The sequence below is a fragment of the Homo sapiens genome, chromosome 12, assembly GCF_000001405.40.
Source record: "Homo sapiens chromosome 12, GRCh38.p14 Primary Assembly".
In the NCBI taxonomy this organism is placed as follows: Eukaryota; Metazoa; Chordata; class Mammalia; order Primates; family Hominidae; genus Homo; species Homo sapiens.
In genome coordinates this window covers 96,741,199-96,761,653 of record NC_000012.12, presented here as the reverse complement: position 1 = coordinate 96,761,653, position 20,455 = coordinate 96,741,199, and the positions used below count along the sequence as shown (strand labels likewise).

Genomic DNA, 20,455 nt, shown 5'->3' with positions numbered 1-20,455 from the left:
TATTAACTCAAAATGGATCACAGACTTAAATGTAAAAGTTAAAACTATACAACTTCTAGAAGAAAACATATAAGAAAATCTTCAACATCTGCAGTTAGACAAAGGGTGCTAGATATGCCGCAAAAAAAACCCCACAATCTATAAAAGAAAAAAATGACAATTTGGACTTCATTAAAATTTAAAAACTTTGTGCCTCCAAAGACACTACTAACAATATGAAAGGACAAGCGACTAACCAGGAGAAAATATTTGCAAATCATTTATTTGATAGGGGGCTTGTATCTAGAATACATATATTTTTAAAAAAGAAAACTCTCAAAGCTAATGATAAAAAAAGACAAATGACCCAATAAAAATGGGCAAAAGATCTGAATAGACATTTCCCCAAAGAAGATACACAAATGGCCAATAAGCACATGAAAATATCCAAGCATCATTAGCCACCAGAGGAATGCAAATCAAAACCACAGTGAGATACCACTTCATACCTACTAGCATGGGTACTACCAAAAAGGTAGATAATAACAAGTGTTAGCAAGGATGTGGAAAAATTGCAACCTTCATATACTGCTGGTAAGGATGTAAAATGGTAGAGCCACCTTTGAAAACAATCTGACAGATCATCAAAAGGCTAAACATAGAGTTGCCATATAACCCAGCAATTTCACTCTTAGGTATATACTCAAAAGAATTGAAAACATATGTCCACAAAAAAACTTGTATATGAATGTGCAAAACATCATTTATCAAAACAGCCAAAAAGTGAAAACAATTCAAATGTCCATCAACTACTGAATGGATAAAGAAAAAAAAAGTGGCATATCCATATAATGAGACACTATTAAGCAACAACAACAACAAAACTACCGTTACACACTACAACATGGGTCAACCTATGAAACATTATACTGGGTGAAAGAAGCAGGCATAAACAAGACAAAATCTATTATTCTATTAGCTGGGCATGGCGGTACATGCCTGTAGTCCGAGCTACTCGGGAAGCTGAGGCAGGAGAATTGCTTGAACCCAGGAGGCGGAGGTTGCAGTGAGCCTAGATCACGCCACTGCACTCCAGTCTAGGCATCAGAGCAAGACTCTGTCTCAGAAAAACTTAAATAAACTCTATCATTCTATTTACATGAAATGTCTGGAAAAGGCAAATCTATAGAGACAGAAAACAGTTTGGTGGTTTCATGGGACTAGGGGTGGGAACAGGATTGACTGCAAATAGGCATAAGGGATCTTTCTTGGGATGATGAAAATGTTCTAAAACTGGATAGTGGTGATTGTTGAACAACTCTGTAAATTTACTAAACATCTGTGGACTGCAGTCTTAAAATGCATTAATTTCATGGATGGAAATTATACCTCTAGTTTTTTTTTAAATGTATGCATGCTGATCTCTCTGTGGACTGTTTTCTCCCACATAACTACTTGGAGAACTCCACTTATCCTTCAAAATGTACTTCATCTGTGAAGCCTTCTCCAGCATTTCCCCAAAACAGCATTAGTCCCTACTTTGCCCCACTTCTCCACCTTGACAAATTGTGATTATAGTCCTTGTCACATTGCAATACAATTATTTATCTCTCTTGCTAGTCTCTGTGATCCTTAGGAAAAGAAAGTGGTTAATGTACATTAAGCCCTCAGTAAGTGTTCAGTTCATGAGTAAATAAATGAATGTTTAAGAAATAGTGATGTCAACAGGCATCAATTATTGAGTACCTACTAACAAAATAGGAAGAAGAATAAAGACGTTTAGCTGATGTTACATAACGAGAAATAATAGTTCCATTTATATAAGTACTTATTACATACAAGCCCATTATCTTGTTTAATTCTCAGAGCCACTCTAAGAGGTAAGGATCCTCATCTCCATTTCACAGGCGAGGAAACTAGGCTTAGAAAGACCTCAGTCACATAGCTAGTAAGTTGTGAAGCTAGGATTCAAACCCACACAGGTACTATGGTCACTCTGCTGTATGGACACTACATAAAAGTGAAACAATAGTGCTTCCTTTTAAGGGCTTATAATGTGTTGTCTTTATTAGGACATATTTCAAATGTTATATTTCCATGGTCTGAATATGTCTGCATGAATTTTTTAAATTGGTTTTGGCTGTTTTCTGTGCTTCCAATAATTCTATGACTTGCTAAAATATTTATACTATGTCAAAACATACAGAAAATAATGATCATATTGTAAGGAATTACACTACTGTTTTCATTCAGATTCTAACTTCTTTATGTTCTTAATTATAAGCACTTCTCTAGTAAGGGCCAGAAAGCTGATATATTATCATCCTAGCATCCTATTAATTTGTATTGCCACCTGCTATAAAAACAAGGGTTTTTTTTTTTTCTGTTACTGGAAATAAACATGTTTATCAAACAACACAAAGTAACTTTTTCTAGTTTGCAATTATTTTGATTAAAAAAAGAGGGGCCATTTACCTAAGGCAGCTGCCATATGAATGGCAGCTGCCATATGAATAATTGGTAAGAATTGACTGAGACTCTATTTGCCTAAAGGTTTTAAATCATGTTTATGTTGTCTCAAAAATTAAAGATTTGATGCCAACATTTTCTGAAAAGATCTCTTGGAGGGTCAAATGATTATTCAATAAGGATGAAACAGAAAAGCCCACTAAAATTTTAAAAACAAAAAATAAAATTACTGGGTTCATATACCTCAAACCCACCCAAATTATTCCTGCATCTGGGATCTCCCTGAGTCTAGAACCTTGGTCCTCACGTGTGGCCCACAGACCGGCGGCATCAGCATCACCTGGGAGGCTCGTTAGAAATGCCAAATCTCAGAGCCCATCCCTGATTTACTGAATCAGAGTCTGCCATTTCACAAGATTTTCAGAGGTGTTTCCACATCTTAGTTTGGAAGCACTGCTCTAGCTACAAGATGCGACCCCTCTGCAACTCTTTGCTGGGGTCCCTCCTCATTCATTAAACCCTACTTCAAACATCACCCCTTCTCAGGTCATTCATTGAAAATTCCACCAATACAAGTTATTCCTAGCTCCAAATTTCACTACCTAAGTCACCCCCTAATATGGTTTGGCTGTGTCCTCACCCAAATCTCATCTTGAATTGTAGCTCCCCAAATTCCCACACATTGTGGGAGGGACCTGGTGGGAGATAACTGAATCATGGGACAGTTTCTCCCATACTGTTCTCATGGTAGTGAATAAATCTCAGGAGATCTGATGGTTTTATAAGGGGAAACCCCTTTCACTTGGTTCTCATTCTTTGTCTGCTGCCATGTAAGATGTGACTTTCGCCTTCCACCATGATTGTGAGGCCTCCCCAGCCACATGGAACTATGAGTCCGTTAAATCTCTTTCCTTTATAATTACTCAGTCTCAGGTATGTCTTTATTAGCAGCGTGAAAATGAACTAATACATGCCCTTCCCCTCCTTCTCCCTCATTTCCTCCCACCTTTCCTCCTCTGATCTCCTTCCTTTACTGGTTTATTATCTGTTTTCCTCTACTGAAAGGCAAGCTCCATGAGAACAGGGACCAAGTTTGTTTTAGACACTGCTTTAACATCTTCCTCTATGAGAGTACCTGGATCATAGTAGATGCTCAATAGATACGTGATGAATGTATGAATGATTCTATCAAGAGGTAATCTGTTTATAGGCCATATCAGTATTGAAAACTTCACTTGTCCATCTGTTTAACCAATATGTCATTTCTTGAATTTTCCTGATCAATACTAATGACTCATTCATTGCCTTGCATTTATGTTATCCATGAAACATAACTGTATATTTATATATTAAGTATATATTTATGTACAGTTACATTTTATGGATAACATTTTCACAGGCAGAAATGTGTATATAAAAATAATTTCCAAAGCCCTATATAAAATGTCCAAAGAGATATCTCTTTGTAACATAGTTACAAGTGTAACTACAAAGAAATGAATTAATTTCTCCAAGCCACACAGGAAAATCAGCCTCATTATTTCAATAGCACAGTGTTACCAAAATAGCAAGCTCAAAGGCAATTAACTCATAATTTCTAATAAAATAGACTCTTACCTTAAGTGTTAATGGTGATCCTGAAATTTTTATCTTTGGCTTCTTCAGATGAAAATACAATAGAGCCATTTCTAGGTAGGAGTCTCTTATCAATCTAAAATGATATAGCACTGTACTTATTAAATAGCTTCACCATGCATAATCATTGGTATCATTTGCCAACAATTTCTGAGCTGATGAAAGGTAAAAACTGGCAAAACCAGCATCTGTCACAAACACACACCCTCTTTTCATAGCACTTTTGACCATAGATACTAGCATCTTCCTCCCTACTAAAATTGGAAGTTCTGGAAGAGAGCTTAGCACTCTGCCTTTTCCTGTGGTGGCAACACTCCATGCTATAACTGCCAGGAAGCCTGGCATCAAGACCATTCTGGAATATTCTAGCACACAAGACACTAAATCAGTGAAGGTCAGGGCTGGAGGAATTTGCCTTGAAAATGGAGGCCCCTCTCTATCCTCCTACACTAATTAAAATAGAAAGAAATACATAGAGTTATGCAATGCAGAAAGCAGTGATTTGGTATGGGTTAGGTCTATGTATTCACTATCAAATCTGTCAGCTGGGGATCAGTGCACCTGGATCAGTGCAGTTGTAATAAAGGTGGCTTACTCAATATTGAGGTGATATTCATACAGAATTAAGAATTAAGTTGGCCAGTCCTGGTCCTGATGACCAGAGTGAATTCACAGCCACACGAACTCCTTCTAGACACAACTGCACATTTAGGGAAGGATCTTCCAGTTTAGAAGCCAGTCATCCTGAGGAGGCCCCAGAAATCCTGGGACTGACACGAGATCTGGGTACAGGCCAATATCCCACTATGAGGACAGCCATCATTTACCATTACTTTAAAGGAGGCTTTGGGTCAGAACAAAGAGCAACAAGCTTGAGATGGACCCCATGAACTAGCCCTGCTTTCAGAAGGCATCCCAAGCAATCCAGCCTTGAGTGGTCAATGTACTACAAGAACACGGGGCTCAAGCCAAACACACACAGCTACAACAATGGAATATCTTTTTACCCTGAGTTTTGATCATTTTTCAGGCTTAGTTGTATAGCTTCATATAAACTCTCAAGTTGAAAACTTGGAGATTTCTCTTCCATTAGTATTTGACGTTCTATTTTGCCTGAAAGAAGAAAAAGATACAAAGATGGTTTTTCCTTTTTCTAGCACTTAGAACTTAAGAACAAATATTTCATGCTGGAAATTCAGAATATTTGATGTGCTGTCCTTTTGTATGTCTGTCTATTTCTTCCAGAAGGTAAGCCAATGAGGAAAGATCCATTGCCTCCTTCTTCAGAACCCTCAGGCTTCCCCTGCATTCAGGAAGCAACATGAGGCAAGCCTTCTTTGGCTTGCCCTACACAACTGGTCTTCCCATCTTCCCATCTAACTTCTCTCTCCATTCCCTTACTTTGTGCTTCTCCCTCCTCCTGTATCTTACATTCCCTTTTTTGACATGCATTCTCCTCCTTCCCCTGTCTCCTTCACAGATATCATAGAAAACATCTGCCCTCCCATGTTCATTGTAGCATTATTCACATTATTCACAATAGCCAAGATATGGAATCAATCTAAGTACCCTTCGACAGGTGCATGGATAAAGAAAACGTGATATGGCTGGCCGTGGTGGCTCACGCTTGTAATCCCAGCACTTTGGGAGGCTGAGGAGGGCGGATCACAAGGTCAGGAGTTCGAGACCAGCCTGCCCAACATGGTGAAACGCCATCTCTACTAAAAATACAAAAATTAGCCTGGCATGGTGGTGCGCGCCTGTAATCCCAGCCACTCAGGAGGCTGAGGCAGGAGAATCACTTGAACCTGGGAGGTGGAGGTTGCAGTGAGCCGAGATCACACCACTGCACTCCAGCCTGGGTGACAGAGTGAGACTTAGTCTCAAAAAAAAAAAAAAAAAAAGGAAAAAAGAAAAGAAAATGTGATATATATACACAACGGAATACTATTTAAAATAGAAAGAAATCCTGTTATTTGAAGACCTCATGGATGAACCTGGAGGACATTATTCTCAGTGAAATAAGCCAGGCACATAAAGACAAATATTGCGTGATCTCACTTAACTGAAGAATCTTAAAAAGTCAGGGAGGGTGGGGGAATAGGGAGATATTGGTCAAAGGGTACAAAGTTTCAGTTAAATGGGAGGAATAAGTTCTGGAGACCTATTGTACAACATGGTGACTATAATTAATAATAATTATAGATTTTAAATGCTTTCACCACAAAAAAATGATAAGTATGTGAAGTGATGGATATGCTAATTAGCTTGATTTAATCATGCCACAATATATACATGTATCAAAAACGTCACACTATACCCCATAAATATATACAATTGCTTTGTCAGTTAAAAATAAATTGAAAACACTTTTAAAATTTTAGAAAAATCACAAACCTAAGGAGAAAAAATAAATCCTAAAAAGTCAGCAAATGGCTGAAAACTCTCTATGATAATGCAAATGCGCTGGCCCTCACAGCTCCCAGCCCTCATGGTGAGCTGCAGCCTTCAAATATAGGCATTAGCAGGCTGGGCCTGGTGGCTCATGCTTGCAATCCCAGCACTTTGGGAGGCCAAGGCGGGTGGATAGCTTGAGGTCAGGAGTTCGAGATCAGCCTGGCCAACATAGTGAAACCCCATCTCTACTAAAAATACAAAAATTAGCCAAGTGTGGTGGTGCACGCCTATGGTCCCAGTTACTCAGTAGGCTGAGGAAGGAGAATTGCTTGAACCCAGGAGGCGAAGGTTGCAGTGAGCCAAGATCATGCCACTGCACTCCAGCCTGGGCAACAGAGCGAGACTACACCTCAAAAAAAAAAAAATGTAGGCACTAGCAGAGCACATGGGTAGCAACAAGGATGGGAAAGGAAACTTCTATAATCACTATAGAAAGGATTCACAGCTTTCATGCAGCCTGTGGAAAGGGCACAGAGCTGGCCAGTGTTGAGCTCACATCTGGGCACTATCATTTAGTGGCTGTTGACTTTTGGAAAGTCACTTAACCAGACCGCACCTAATTTTCCTCATCATCAAGCAGGATTTGTCATGCCTACCTTGCAGAGCTATTTTAAGAATTAGCACTATGAGATACATATTGAACATACTGAATACAGCACCTAGCATTTAATAGATACTCAGTAAATGATAGCACTCATCCTTATCTTTTTCTCAGAGGTAAAATGCCCACAATAAAATTATATAAATGTCTTGAGGAAATAGGTGTTATATATAAGTTTTAAGTATAGGTGTGCTATATCTATTTAATTTCAATGAGTATGTATCTCTTACTTATAAAAATTAACCAAAATGTTTAGCTAAGTAATGAAATGATGCAGAAAAAATGTCTTCCAAGCATTATTTAAGTAATATTATTTATAGCTAAGAGGCTATGCTGCCATTTTTCAGTCAAACCTGAAACTTTGTGTAAGAAGAATCAATTACAATTATAAAAGAAATGAAGCAGTAGTACTTTTTTCTTTCTAGACATAAAATAAACAGCATTCTTTTACCTAAGACTGGATTTGGTGGAGGTACCATTGTGTTAATCATCTCTAAGCCCTTTGTATGTTTGTAATTTTTATAGTCAGGGACCAGATTTTCAAGAATCCTGTTGTTGACAGAAAAAAGAATTCCATAAATTTTATCATAGTTCTGACCCCAGATGCATTTTACCTTTCTGAAAAAGGATTTCAGCTTCCACCTCATGTTCCTCCACTGCTGTTGTTCTACAGAGCTTCAGTGCCACATCAAACAGATGAAGAGCAGGTAACCACTTCGAGGGGTCCTTCCTTTTATTCTTGTAATATACTTGCTTGGCCACTGTATGTCCTAAAAGAAAAACAGTTCGGTGGGGAAGAACAAAAAAATACACGGTGTTTATAACAAGCCTCCAAGTTACCAGACTGCTCTCACAGTAATGAAATCTATCAAGAACTTTGGTAGTTTTTACAGTTTTTAGCATCCAAGAAATGTTTTAAAGACATATAATACCCAATATTTCAATGAACTACAGTAATAACCCTTTGAAATTTTTTCTTTGATACATTTCTAACATGTTTTCTTCTTTTTTAAATGAAGGATAATCTCTCAAAACCCTTTCCTTCTAAAATTCACAATGCTCTACAGAACAACTTTCATGCTGCTAAGATGAAGTTGTTAATAGGGAAACACCTGGAAATTTTATGTTGTTCCCAATAAAATTTGCAAATATTAATGGGCAGTAATTTTCTTTCTATTAAGCATTATAGTGGTTACTTGCTTTGTGTGTTTTGTTTTGTTTTGTTTTGTCATCTCCACTAGACAGCAAACCCATGATGGACAAGGACTACATGCTATGCTTTTTATTAGGCCCCATCATTATTTAACATGTTTTTACTTAAAAAACCATTGTATGGAAGAGACATTAGACTTTATCTGTGTGACCCCAGAGCCAGACAGGCAGACATTTATTCAACAAATATTTTCTAAGTGCTTAGGTACTTGACAAAAACGAAAAAAGAAAATAATAAGAGCTAAGATTTATTAAATGTGTCCTACATTCCAGCCACCCTCTGAAGGACTTAAATGCATTACTCATATGATCCCCGCAACTCTGAGTGGGCACCATTATCAAGCTTATTTGACAGAGGACAAAGCAGTAGCTCAGTGAGGTTTCAGCAACTCACCCAAGGTTAGATGGCTGGTAAACAGAAGAGCCGTAATTTGAACCTAGGCAGTCTGGCTCCAGGGCCCACACTCTAAACTACAACATTGCACTATCTCTTAAGAGGGAGGTCATGAAGCCTAGTGTTTTGTTTAATGGAGAATATGAATAGCCAGACAGGCAATCAAAATACTGCATGGCCAATTGTGTAGCAGAGAAAGCACGGGGCACTTTGCTAGCAGGCCCAGATTGGGGGAGTTAGGGAAACCATCCCAGAGAATGTGGCTGTCTAGGCTAAAAGCAGATGAACACCTTCTCTTTGGTAATTTTAAAGAACAAAAAAGTTGGCATAAAGAGGAGAATGGAAGTAGGAGAAATAATTAATTGATTGGATAATTGAACACACAATAAAGTAATATAAACAGAAAGGCAGTGTAGGACTCTGATACAGATACTGAATTCTAGCTGAAGTGCTGGATCCTGGCCAGTCATTGGTGCTACCATATCATTGAGGCTTTGAACAAGTCCCCACATGCCTCCAAGCCTTGAGCGTCCTCTGAAAAAATGATTGAAATATTGGGTATTACATGTCTTTAAAACATTTCTTGGCTACTAAATGCTAAAAAATAAAATGCAGCAGAACTACAAAATCGTGAGGTATCTTTAGGTTCTGAAATTTTCTAATTCCAAGTTGCTATGCCCTACAAAGGATATATTTTTTTAAATCTAGAACTTTTTGTAAACTTTTAATTCAGGCATGTGCTATGTGAATGGCAGGATGATGGACAGCCTCAATCTCTCTCTCTCTCTCTCTCTCTCTCTCTCTCTCTCTCTCTCTCTCTCATCCAGGAAGAAGTTACTGAGTCCTTACTCTGAACCAGGCGGGATGGCAGCACACTGATGAGAATACGGAGATGACAAAGTGAATACGGAGAAGAAGAATATGGAGAGGAAAAGCCGTTGCTTCTGGGAGGCTCCCAGAAGAGTAAGGAGGCCAGGCATGGAACAGGAAGAACAGCTGACACCTACAAAGCTCTTAAAACAAGTGAGGAGGTGCCCTTCTAAATATGTTATGCATGCCACTCACGTCATCTCAGAGGCTAATGACATTGGCACTCACCCACATTTTATAGGAGAGGAAATGAAAACAAGGGAAGTTAAATGACTTGTTCAAGGGGATTGAATTGAATAAGAATTCCTTCTTAGAGCCCACACTCTTAACCTCAACAATTATCAACTGTGATTAGATCCCAGGCTAGAAGGGAAATAAAAGATATGCTAATTTGTTCAGCACAACCATATTTCAACATCTCCCCTTTTTGTATATTTCACTTATTGTTTCATATTATACCAAATATCAATATAAGACAAAAATAACAAATACTTCATGTCATCATGCCACATATATGTATATATAATATGTATTAGTACTATACAGTTTATATTATATATTAGTGCCATATGATATGATACATGATATGGTATGATATACAATATGATAATGGCACTAATATATAAAAATAATACTTGAATTGTCTTCTAGATTTTTGTTAAAATTAGAATTGTTACAGGGATTATGAACTATTTTCTCTCCCTCCCTAACTAGATAATAAGCTTCTTGAGGGCAGAGATGAGGACTGGCTTCCTAGTATGTCCCCACTTCCCAGCACCATTCTTGCATATAAGTGGCCCTCAATGAATGTTTGCTGATTGAATAAACATAAGAAATGTAAGTAACTTTCATTCACTCCTATCATAGAATCAGTAATCTACTTTTTCATGTAATAAGGAAGCTCAAGGTTCAGTCATTAATTAAAAAAAGATTTTAAATAACCATGATGTTTATTTTTGTCTTATAAAAAAATCTCTAAATGCCTTTTTCTATCAGAGACTTTCACATGAAAAAAAATTTTAAGTAGTCCATTTGTGTGACACAATCTATACTATAAAGGAAAATTATCAAGAAAGCATCAAGTCACAGCTGATTTTATGCTTTATAATATTTAAGTGCTCCTTTTTCCAGTAAATATCAACTCTGTGAAAAAGACGTTGTAAAACTGATGTTGTTTTGACAGAAAAGCTGCTTTGGGTTTTGTTTTTTAAGTCTGTGTTTAATATAATACACCAGGAAGCAAGCTGTTCAGCCTTAAGTGACTCTAAAACACGGCAACAGTATTGTCATTGAGTGGTGACACATCCTCAAGATTAGTAAGTCAGAAAAGTACAGAATATATTTGATTTAACACAATCTGTACAATTTAACACAATCTGTATTTTAAGCTCCTGTAGAAATCAAATGTCCTGATAATTGAAGAAACTGTAGACTGAAAATAGAGAAAAATAGCTCTCATGAGATCAACAAGCTGGAAGGAATTCAAGAGGCCAATTAAGTCAGCCTAACTTTATAAAGGAGGAAACTTAATATAAAGGGGAAGTAATTTATGTCAAGTTATAAAATTCATATGTGATGATGATCATCAACATATAACAATGATCAATAATAATAACGAGAGGGAGGAACAGAAGGGAGATGGGAGATTCTGCACAGTTGATAGCTTGGGCATGCCTTTCTGCCCTCCCTTTCCCAATCTAATCCAATATCAGCTTCTCCAGAGCTGCTGCTGCTGCTGCTGCTGCTGCTGCAGGAGACAGGTGGGTCCTAGAAGGTGACGGGTAAGAACAGACAGAGCTGGTACAGGATCTTCTGCACTCTGGGATGGACAAGAGCCTGGGAACCAGGGCAGGCAGCCTTGGATCAAAAATCAGGGACAGCATCCAAAAAGAGCTTGGAACAAGGTCTCTAGCTCCAAAGAGTGACAGCTCTGGCTGGCTGCCTTCTTGGTTTTCCAGGACCTGTGAGGGGCTTGAAGGTGGCCTGAGTCCTCTTCACTCCTGAAACTAAAGAATATTGGCCTTTGCTGCTTCTCCTGGTGCTTCACAGGGAATTGAACTTTTGAAGTCTGGTATACAGCCAACCCATATAGGCAGAACTAGCTATTCTTAACCACCACTTGCAGCATGGCCACTACTGAAATTAATCCAACAGCTAGACATGACCCACAATAAACAGACAAAGTAAAATAGCCTGGCAAAAAAGATCCAGCAGCTGACAAGAGGAAGAATAAATATAACCCCCAGAAAAGGTGGCAGTAGTAAAATAAAACTGATTAAAATTCAGATGACAAATCAAAAAAGTAAGAGCATGTATAGAGATATAAAGTTTTCAGATAATTTTGAGAAGATAGTCAATGCTGAAACCTAAATTAATAATCAGAAAGATCAAGTGGAAGTAAAAGTAGTTCAAGTTATAGATGACAAAAATAAATGGAAATTATAAAGGAAAACATAATAGACTTAGAAGACAGATCAAGACTTGATATATAAATAATAATAGTCAACACTCAATAGTGCTTACAATGGCCCAGGCACTGGTCTAGGCATTTAACATCTTCTTAACAATCTTATCAAGTAAGTGCCATTATTATCCCCTGAATGTTTGTGTCCCTTTAAAATTCATATGTTGAAATGTAACCCCCACATGATGTTATTAGAGGCAGAGACTTTGGGAGGTGATTAGGTCGTGAGGGCTCTGCCCTCCTGCATGAGATTACTGTCCTTGTAAAAAACAAGAAGACAGACTTGTCCTCGTAAAAGACAAACTTGAGAAAGCCTGTCTGCCCCTTCCACCATGTAAGGACACATAGAAGGTGCCATCTACAAAGCAGAGCCATCCCTCACCAGACACCAAATCTACTACTCCATTATTCTCTTGGACTTCCCAAACTCCAGAGCTGTGAACAATAGGTTTCCGCTGTTTATAAATTACTCAGTCTAAGGTATTTTGTTACAGCAGTCAAACAGACTACTGTAAAAACTCCCATTTTTGAGATGAGGAAATTAAGGCACAAAGAAGTTAAATCACATGCTTAAGATTTGAACATAGGCCAGATGGCTCTCGATGTACTAGTAACTGAAGAAGAAGAAAGAACAGAGAGTGACTAGGCAATAATTAAGCAAGAAGAAATTTTCTGACAGCTGGAAAGAGACTTATCTGCAGATTGAAAGTGCTCACTGATTTCTAGGCAGAGAAAGAAAAGGCATATACCCAGACATATGCTGGTAAAATTCCTGAGCTACAGAGACAAAAGAGAAAATGCTGTAAGTTTTCAGAAAGAAAGAACAAATTTCTTACCAAAAGAAAATGAAAATTAGACTGACACTGCAGTTCTCATTTGAGACACTCAAAGCTAGACATGATGGAATAATCTCTAACAAACCCTGAGAAAAAACAGCCACACCCAAAGATTCTGCTACTGAGCTGGGAGCACATCATTCACCTGTCAGAGTGCAAGAAAGGTATTTGCAGAGAACATGGAATCAGAATATAATCTGAGGAAAACACTTAAAAAGAAAGAGAAAAGGATTCAATCAACAACCTATGAAGCAGAACAGAGACTGAAAGACTCTGAAGGCTTTGAAGATGAACGAAAAGAAGGAGGGAAGAAGAACAGCAGCACTTTCTCAGTGGTACAATGACTAGGATTAGATATTAGAAATTAGAAATAGAGTTTCTTTAAAAAGGAAAGAACTAGTTTAAAGGAAAAGCATCAGGATACTTTGCTTAAAAAGTACTAAATTATCTCAGTAAAATCTGGGAGCTAGAGACAGTAGGAGAGAAGGAGCGAAACTTCTAGATATCTCTAGATGGTGAGTTTATTCCTTAAACTTTTAAAGTAGGAAGGTAAAATTCATCTACAGTCTCATCTAATTGGGGATGGCCTATGAGGGAAACATAAATTCATCTAAAGTCCCATCTAACTGGGGATGGCCTATGAGGGAAACAGGTAAGAGCCTCTTGGTGAGAGGAAAGTTGGATCTGGGTATTACAGTAGGGAACCACATATCTGAGTCTGCAGACTGGGAAAGGAAAAGTACAATGAATGTCTAAAATAACAGAAAAAAAGGTCATAAAAACAAATTGATCAAACTGACAAAGATAAAGAAACTAAAGTAAAATAAGTAGTAAAGATAAAGTAAGATGTAAGAAATAACAGCAACTGTACTACCATTTAGTGCATGACTGTTGTGTGCCAGGCACTGTTTAATACTATATATATTTGATTTCATTTCATTATTTCAAATATATAGGGAAAATAGCCTACCTCCATTTTGCAGATAAGGCATGAAGTCTAAGAGCTTGGATAACTTCTAAGATCAGACAACTAAGAAATAGTAATGCCAAGATTCAGGCCTGGATCCTCTAGATCCCAAATCTTCATCTAACCAGCTTGCTCTGCAGTTTCCTATTTCTAATAACCTGTGTGTTAGTCTTTTTTTCCACAGCACTGTCCACTAGTTTTTCTTCAAATATTTGAAAAGGAGCTAACATTTACTGAGCACATACTATCTGCTGGAAATGGTACTTGGTGCTAAATGCTTAATTTTCATTAGGTTTGTACCTTGACCAAAACATATTTCTTGAACAATTTTTTTGTTACAAAAGTTATATGTGTTCATTGTAGTTCATTATAGCAGATTAAAGGAGAGAGAGAAGCAAAAAGAAGACAATAAACATCATCCATAATCACCTCTGCCAAGGGGAGTCCCTATTTTCCAATGATATTTTGATGTATACAATGAATATTTTGTAATGTTGTGTTATATATGTTCCAATGTAGTGCGAACACCTTTCCATTGTATAAAAATTATTCTGCAACATTATTATTAGTGGTTGCATAGTAGTCTAATGGATGAATGAAATCTGAAAGCACCATTATTGATTGATTGCTTGATTTCAGGCACTGTGCTAGGTGCCCGGGATATCAGATGAACAAAACAAAATTGTTGCCTTAAGAAGCTTATGTCGTAATGGAGGCTTCAAACAAGCAAGTAAATTGTCCTTAACAACCAACATGGTAAGCATTACAATAAGAATAATCAATTAGAAGGGGGTTGAAGCACATCACCCAGTCTTGGGGTTCAGGAAAAGTTTCCTGGAAGCAGTGATGCTTAACTGAGATCTGAAGAATGGACAGAGTTTAAGGAAATGTATTTGCATGTGTGGGAGCCAGTGAGTAGTGGGGAGGAGAGGGAAGAGAATGATATGGTAGGAATGGGATTTCAGGGGAAGATTATTCCTAATGGAGAAAATCGCATGTGCAAAGGTGTAAAGCATGCAGCACCGCATGCATCACGTGCAGTCACAGTGATGCAGTGTGACCAGAGGGTTGGGTGGGAAGGGGCACAGGTCAGCTTGGACCACATCATAAGAAGCCTTTTAAGCCAGAACAAATAGAGATCATTTACTTAAAGGATAGACTAGGGAAATAGAAAGGTAATTATGGATAGGAAACCAGAGAGGGAGATGGAAAATTGGGAGAATGCAGCACCTGAGAATCCAGAGAGCAGAGTTTCAGGAAGTTGTGATTAGTGTCAGCAATGTCAAATGCTTTGGAGGGTCTGAAAACTACATATTGGAATTATAGATTAAGTCCTTGGTGATGAACTCAAGAGTGATTTCTCTGGTCCAAATCCAGAATGAAGTGGGGTGAGGGGTGAATGAGAGGGGAGGAAAGAAGAGGAAGAGAGCAGACTCTACCCTTAAGGAGTCTGGCTGGAAGGATGTTTTGTGAGAATGACAGAGGCTTACAGTAGGTTTGTTATTGTTTTTTGTTTGTTTAGTTTATTTTTTTACTGGTGGATATTTGAAAATATTTACAAACTGAGGGAAGGAGAGAAAAGGATGTGTTGAGTAAGGAAGGTAGAAAACATGTGAGAGAGGGGTAAAAGTGCCAAAGCAAGGTCCCCAGGAAGGACAGAGCCAACTAGGAGCTACAGCAAGGCCAAAAGGCTCAGCAGCATTGATAAAGGGGCAGGCTCCTCCCCTGAGAAAAGAGAGAGGCAGAAGGAGGCTGGAGTCATTAACCATGCTCGCAAAGCAGAGTTAGGCTGATACACCGTTTTCCCACTGCAGAGAAACTATACCATCCACCTGGGATTGAAAATACTATTATCAGCCAGTCCACTAGTTAAGGCACTAACTAGAGTATTGTGAAGGAACATAAGATGCTGTCCCTTCAAGGGACCTTGACTCATAAAAATATGAAGACTTTTGACAATTCCTATATTTGTAAGACACAAGTTTATTTCTTAAACTTTTACAAACAAGTTATCAGAGCTTCCAAAAAAAATGAATATCACCTTCATTAACACTTTTATTTAAGCTATTTTTATTGACAAATGGGATCTAACTAAACTAAAGAGCTTCCGCACAGCAAAAGAAACTATCATCAGAATGAACAGACAACCTACAGAATGGGAGAAAATCTTTGCAATCTACCCATCTGACAAAGGTCTAATATTCAGAGTATACAAAGAACTCAAACAAATTTACAAGAAAAAAAAACATTAAAAAATGGGCAAAGGACATAAACAGACATTTCTCAAAAGACATGCATGCAGCCAGCAAACATGAAAAAAAGCTCAACATCACTGATCATTAGAGAAATCCAAATCAAAACCACAATGAGATACTATTTCACACCAGTCAGAATGGCTATTATTAAAAAGTCAAAAAACAACAGATGCTGGCAAGGTTGCAGAGAAAAAGGAATGCTTTTACACTGTTGGTGGGAGTGTAAATTAGTTCAACCACTGTGGAGACAGTGTGGTGATTCCTCAAAGACTAGGGGCAGAAATACCATTTGACCCAGCAATCTAATTACTAGGTAATACCCAAAGGAATATAAATCACTCTATTCTAAAAATATATGCAAGCATATGTGCACTGCAGCACTATTCACAATAGAGAAGACATGGAATCAACCTAAATGCCCATCAATGATAGACTGGATAAAGAAAATGTGGTACATATACACCATGGAATATTATGCAGCCATAAAAAGGAACGAGATCATGTCCTATGGATGGAGTTGGAAGCCATTATCCTCAGCAAACTAACACAAGAACAGAAAACCAAACACCACATGTTCTCACTTATAAGTGGGAGCTGAATGATGAGAACACATGGACACGTCGAGGGGGAATGACACACACTATGACCTACTGGGGGGTAGAGCAAGGGAGAGCATCAGGAAGAATGGCCAATGAATGCTGGGCTTAGATAGGATGATCTGTGCAGGAAACCATCATGGCACACATTTACCTATATAGCAAACCTGCACATCCTGCACATGTACCCCTAAACTTAAAATAAATGTTGAAGAAAGAAAATAAATAATAAAAAATAAACTATTTTTTTGTTCACAGGCATTAAATTAGCATTTTTAAAGATGTAAGTACTTCATAACATCAGTTATAAAATACATAATGCATTTAACACATTCCTTTCCAAAATCTTCTTTAACAGTTAGTTATAATTTAAATATGCTAGACAACAGATTATTTAAGAAATGTATTTTGTGTTTGTAGGATTTTTTTCAGTAAAGTTACTGAATTGCATGGTAATTTTGAAGTAAATTATGTGGGCATAATTTTAATCCAAAAGACTGATGACCTGGATAAAGTGCAATAGTCTAGACCAAGCAGTTATGCATGTTATATTATGGTAATCAACCACATACTTTATTCATATATAAAGACCATCTATACATCACACAGTCTGGCATATGATAAGTGATCAAAAACTATTGGTTAAATAAATGGAGCCTGAGTATTCATAAATATTGCCTCTTTTAAATGCACTCATATGATAGCCTGCCTAAAAATAACTTAAAAAGTTTTATCAGTTATTCTAGGGCAATATAAGTTTAAATGTTCTTACCAATTCTCATTTTTATTTTGGCCAATAACATGACATGGGGAAGATAGATATTTTTCAAAGGCTGTAATGGATTTGCATATTTAGTGTTTGATGAACGAAATTCAATTGTTTCTCCAAAAGCTAGCATCTATTAAAAAAACAAATATTGTAATGAGCAATTAGTTGACGTGGTTTGGAATAGGAGGAAAGAGAGAAAAGTAAGTTTCTATGTCTCGCAGACACAAAAGCATTCTCACCTGTTCAGTTAGAATGCTATGAGCCCGAGTTAACAAATTTAATTTTCCTGTTTTTGAAGAGGGAGATTCCTTGAATTTCTCAGCTTTGGTTAAGTCATCCAGCAAAACTAGGCTTCTTGCCAGGGTTAGCCGTGATTGAGGAGAAATAAATTCATTTCCTTCCAGCAAATGTATTATATCCTATTAAAATAAAATTATTCATTTTGATAGTACTGTTTCCAATTCACTGAAACAAGAGCTGGACATGTTAATTGTTATGCATTCAGTACCTAGTGGAATTTGAAATTCTCTCCTTTTGTTCTAACTGGAATCCCTCCCTGACTATAAATACGAACAAAGTTTCCTTTCTACCTGAAGGTTTGTCATGATGTCTGCCTTTAAATGCTTTTCTTGTAGGCCAAGAATTACAGCTTGCGTCAAGAATTCAGCCTGCAGTTCCGTGTCCCCTGCGCTTTTTGCCTCCATACACACTTCATTGATGAGGCTCAGGCAATCTGTCATATCATCCTCTAAAATAAACAAATGCGGTTATTTAAAATGCATTGAGAAAGTCAGAAGTTATACATGTGTAATAGCCCCAATTTTCATCACAGAAATATTGTGTAATATCAAAGAACAGGGGAGTATATTAAGATGGAAAACAGACTCTACATGAAACATGGAAAATAAATGTGTTGTAATTTGGGGGAAAGTACTTTAGGACTTTCCAGTGCTGCAAAAATGATGATATTGCATGAGATAATTTAATTTGGAAGATGGATAGAAATGAGTGAATAGATAGGTATACAAATAGATAATGATTAATCACTGCAAGAACTAACATTTACATGTGCCAAGCTGTGATCTAAGAACAGTATAAATTTAACCCATTTAATTCTGACAATAATCCTATAAAGTAGGTACAATTGTCTCCATTTTACAGGGTAGGAAACTGAGTAAGGGGGATTTAAGAGACTTGGCAAAGAAAGGCTTGGCAAGGAAGTAGTGGATCCAATATTTGAACCCAAGTGGGTTGGCTCCAGTAATCTGTGCTCTTCACTCCTACACTTAGTTGCCTTCCCAGATGACAAGAAGACCTGGTCATTCGTATTATGAAATTGCTTTATCTGTTTTGCATACATTAGTAAGATATAAGCCACTTTCAATGATACAAAGGGCTGTTAAAAATATTCCTATATATTAATAACCTGAATTTTTAATTCTATAAGCAGATCAAGCTAGAAAGTTATAAAACATTAACATAATAAAATATATCCCAATAAACCCCTCTTCACCTATGTAAAATTAATTTTTATGAAAACATTGATTAAGCAAATGTTTGTACCTTTCACAATTCCAATGCCATGAATCTGTGCAACAAATGCAGTCACCAATGCTAAGCGGCACCTCAACCACAGATGAATGTTGAAATATTCTCGGGCATTTAGGGAAATAGGATCTAAAAACTCACTGTCATCTTTATTTTCAGTGACCTAAACAATATTAAAATGATGGTTATCTTTCCATTTAATAATGTCAAGGTTCTAGCCTAAGACTAAATGTAATGTAAGTTTAAAAGGCATCTGGTATCATTCCACAGTATTACAATTTTAAATTTAGAAATGATTCTTGCACATTCTATAAAATATAAAAAATATTCAAAACAAAATCACCCACAATCCAGAAATCCTCTATTAACATTTTAGCATACTGCTTTTCAGCTTTCCTTTTCTCTCCGTACCCATTGTTGAAAAATAGTTTTGCAGTGTGAATTTCTCACTGCAAATTATATTATCAGCAGTTTCTGTGTCATTAAAAGTTTTTGTAAATGTCATTTCAAGGGCTAAAAAATAAATAATATTCACTAATATCCATTTAGTTATTATGTGTCAGGTACTGTGCTACACGCTTTGTATATATTATCTCATTTAATCCTCCTAACAGCCAAAGAGGTATTATAATCATTTCCATTTTACAGTTGGGAGAACTGAGACCTAGGAAGGTTAACTATCTTGCCTAAACACTGTCATATTTTGACGGAGGTGGGATTCCAACCTATGTCTTCCTGCCTTCAGAGTCCACAGTCTTAATCCACTGTGTCATGCTGCTGTATGCTGCTCATATTCCAAACACGTATTATAATTAATTTGCCACCCTCAATATTACACTTTACAAAGAGGTGACAAATGTCCAGAGCTACTGAGAGCTAGGAGAGATGTGCAAAGAAAGCTATTTCTGGGGGAGTGGAGTCCATCGTAGACACTAGGAACTTTAAAATCATTTAGAAAAACTGTCATTTGTTCTAAGTATTTCCTGCTATGCATCTCTGACAGCTCCTCATGTCCAACCAATCAGCAACATGTGCTAGCCAGGAGTAGCTAATGGGGCCTAAAGGGGCTCAAATGCAGGTGGGTAGTACAGGAAGAGTAGGGCAAGGTGTTCCCTGGAAACAAGGGTAAGCAGTCAACATGCGCGGCGCGGTGGCTCACACCTGTAATCTCAGCACTTTGGGAGGCCAAGGCAGGTGAATAACCTGAGGTCAGGAGTTCGAGACCAGCCTGACCAATATGGTGAAACTCTCTACTAAAAATACAAAAATTAGACAGGCATGGTGGCAGGCACCTCTAGTCCCAGCTACTCAGGAGGCTGAGTCAGGAGAATTGCTTGAACCCAGGAGGCAGAGGTTGCAGTAAGCCGACACTGTGCCACTGCATTCCAGGTTGGGCGATAGAG

General features: G+C 37.5%; 1 protein-coding gene across 2 annotated transcripts in view; it reads right to left on the bottom strand.

Moving 5' to 3' along the window:
• CFAP54 (cilia and flagella associated protein 54) overlaps positions 1-20,455 on the bottom strand; it is a 385,979-nt gene that overhangs the window by 113,902 nt on the left and 251,622 nt on the right. For both annotated transcript variants that reach the window (NM_001367885.1, NM_001306084.2), the window contains 7 exons: positions 19,068-19,215; positions 18,095-18,252; positions 17,744-17,923; positions 17,508-17,634; positions 7,756-7,911; positions 5,091-5,196; positions 4,066-4,159 (listed from right to left, as the gene is read on the bottom strand). In NM_001367885.1, the coding sequence (NP_001354814.1) occupies positions 4,066-4,159; positions 5,091-5,196; positions 7,756-7,911; positions 17,508-17,634; positions 17,744-17,923; positions 18,095-18,252; positions 19,068-19,215 (969 nt within the window). The remainder of the gene's footprint in view (positions 1-4,065; positions 4,160-5,090; positions 5,197-7,755; positions 7,912-17,507; positions 17,635-17,743; positions 17,924-18,094; positions 18,253-19,067; positions 19,216-20,455) is intronic.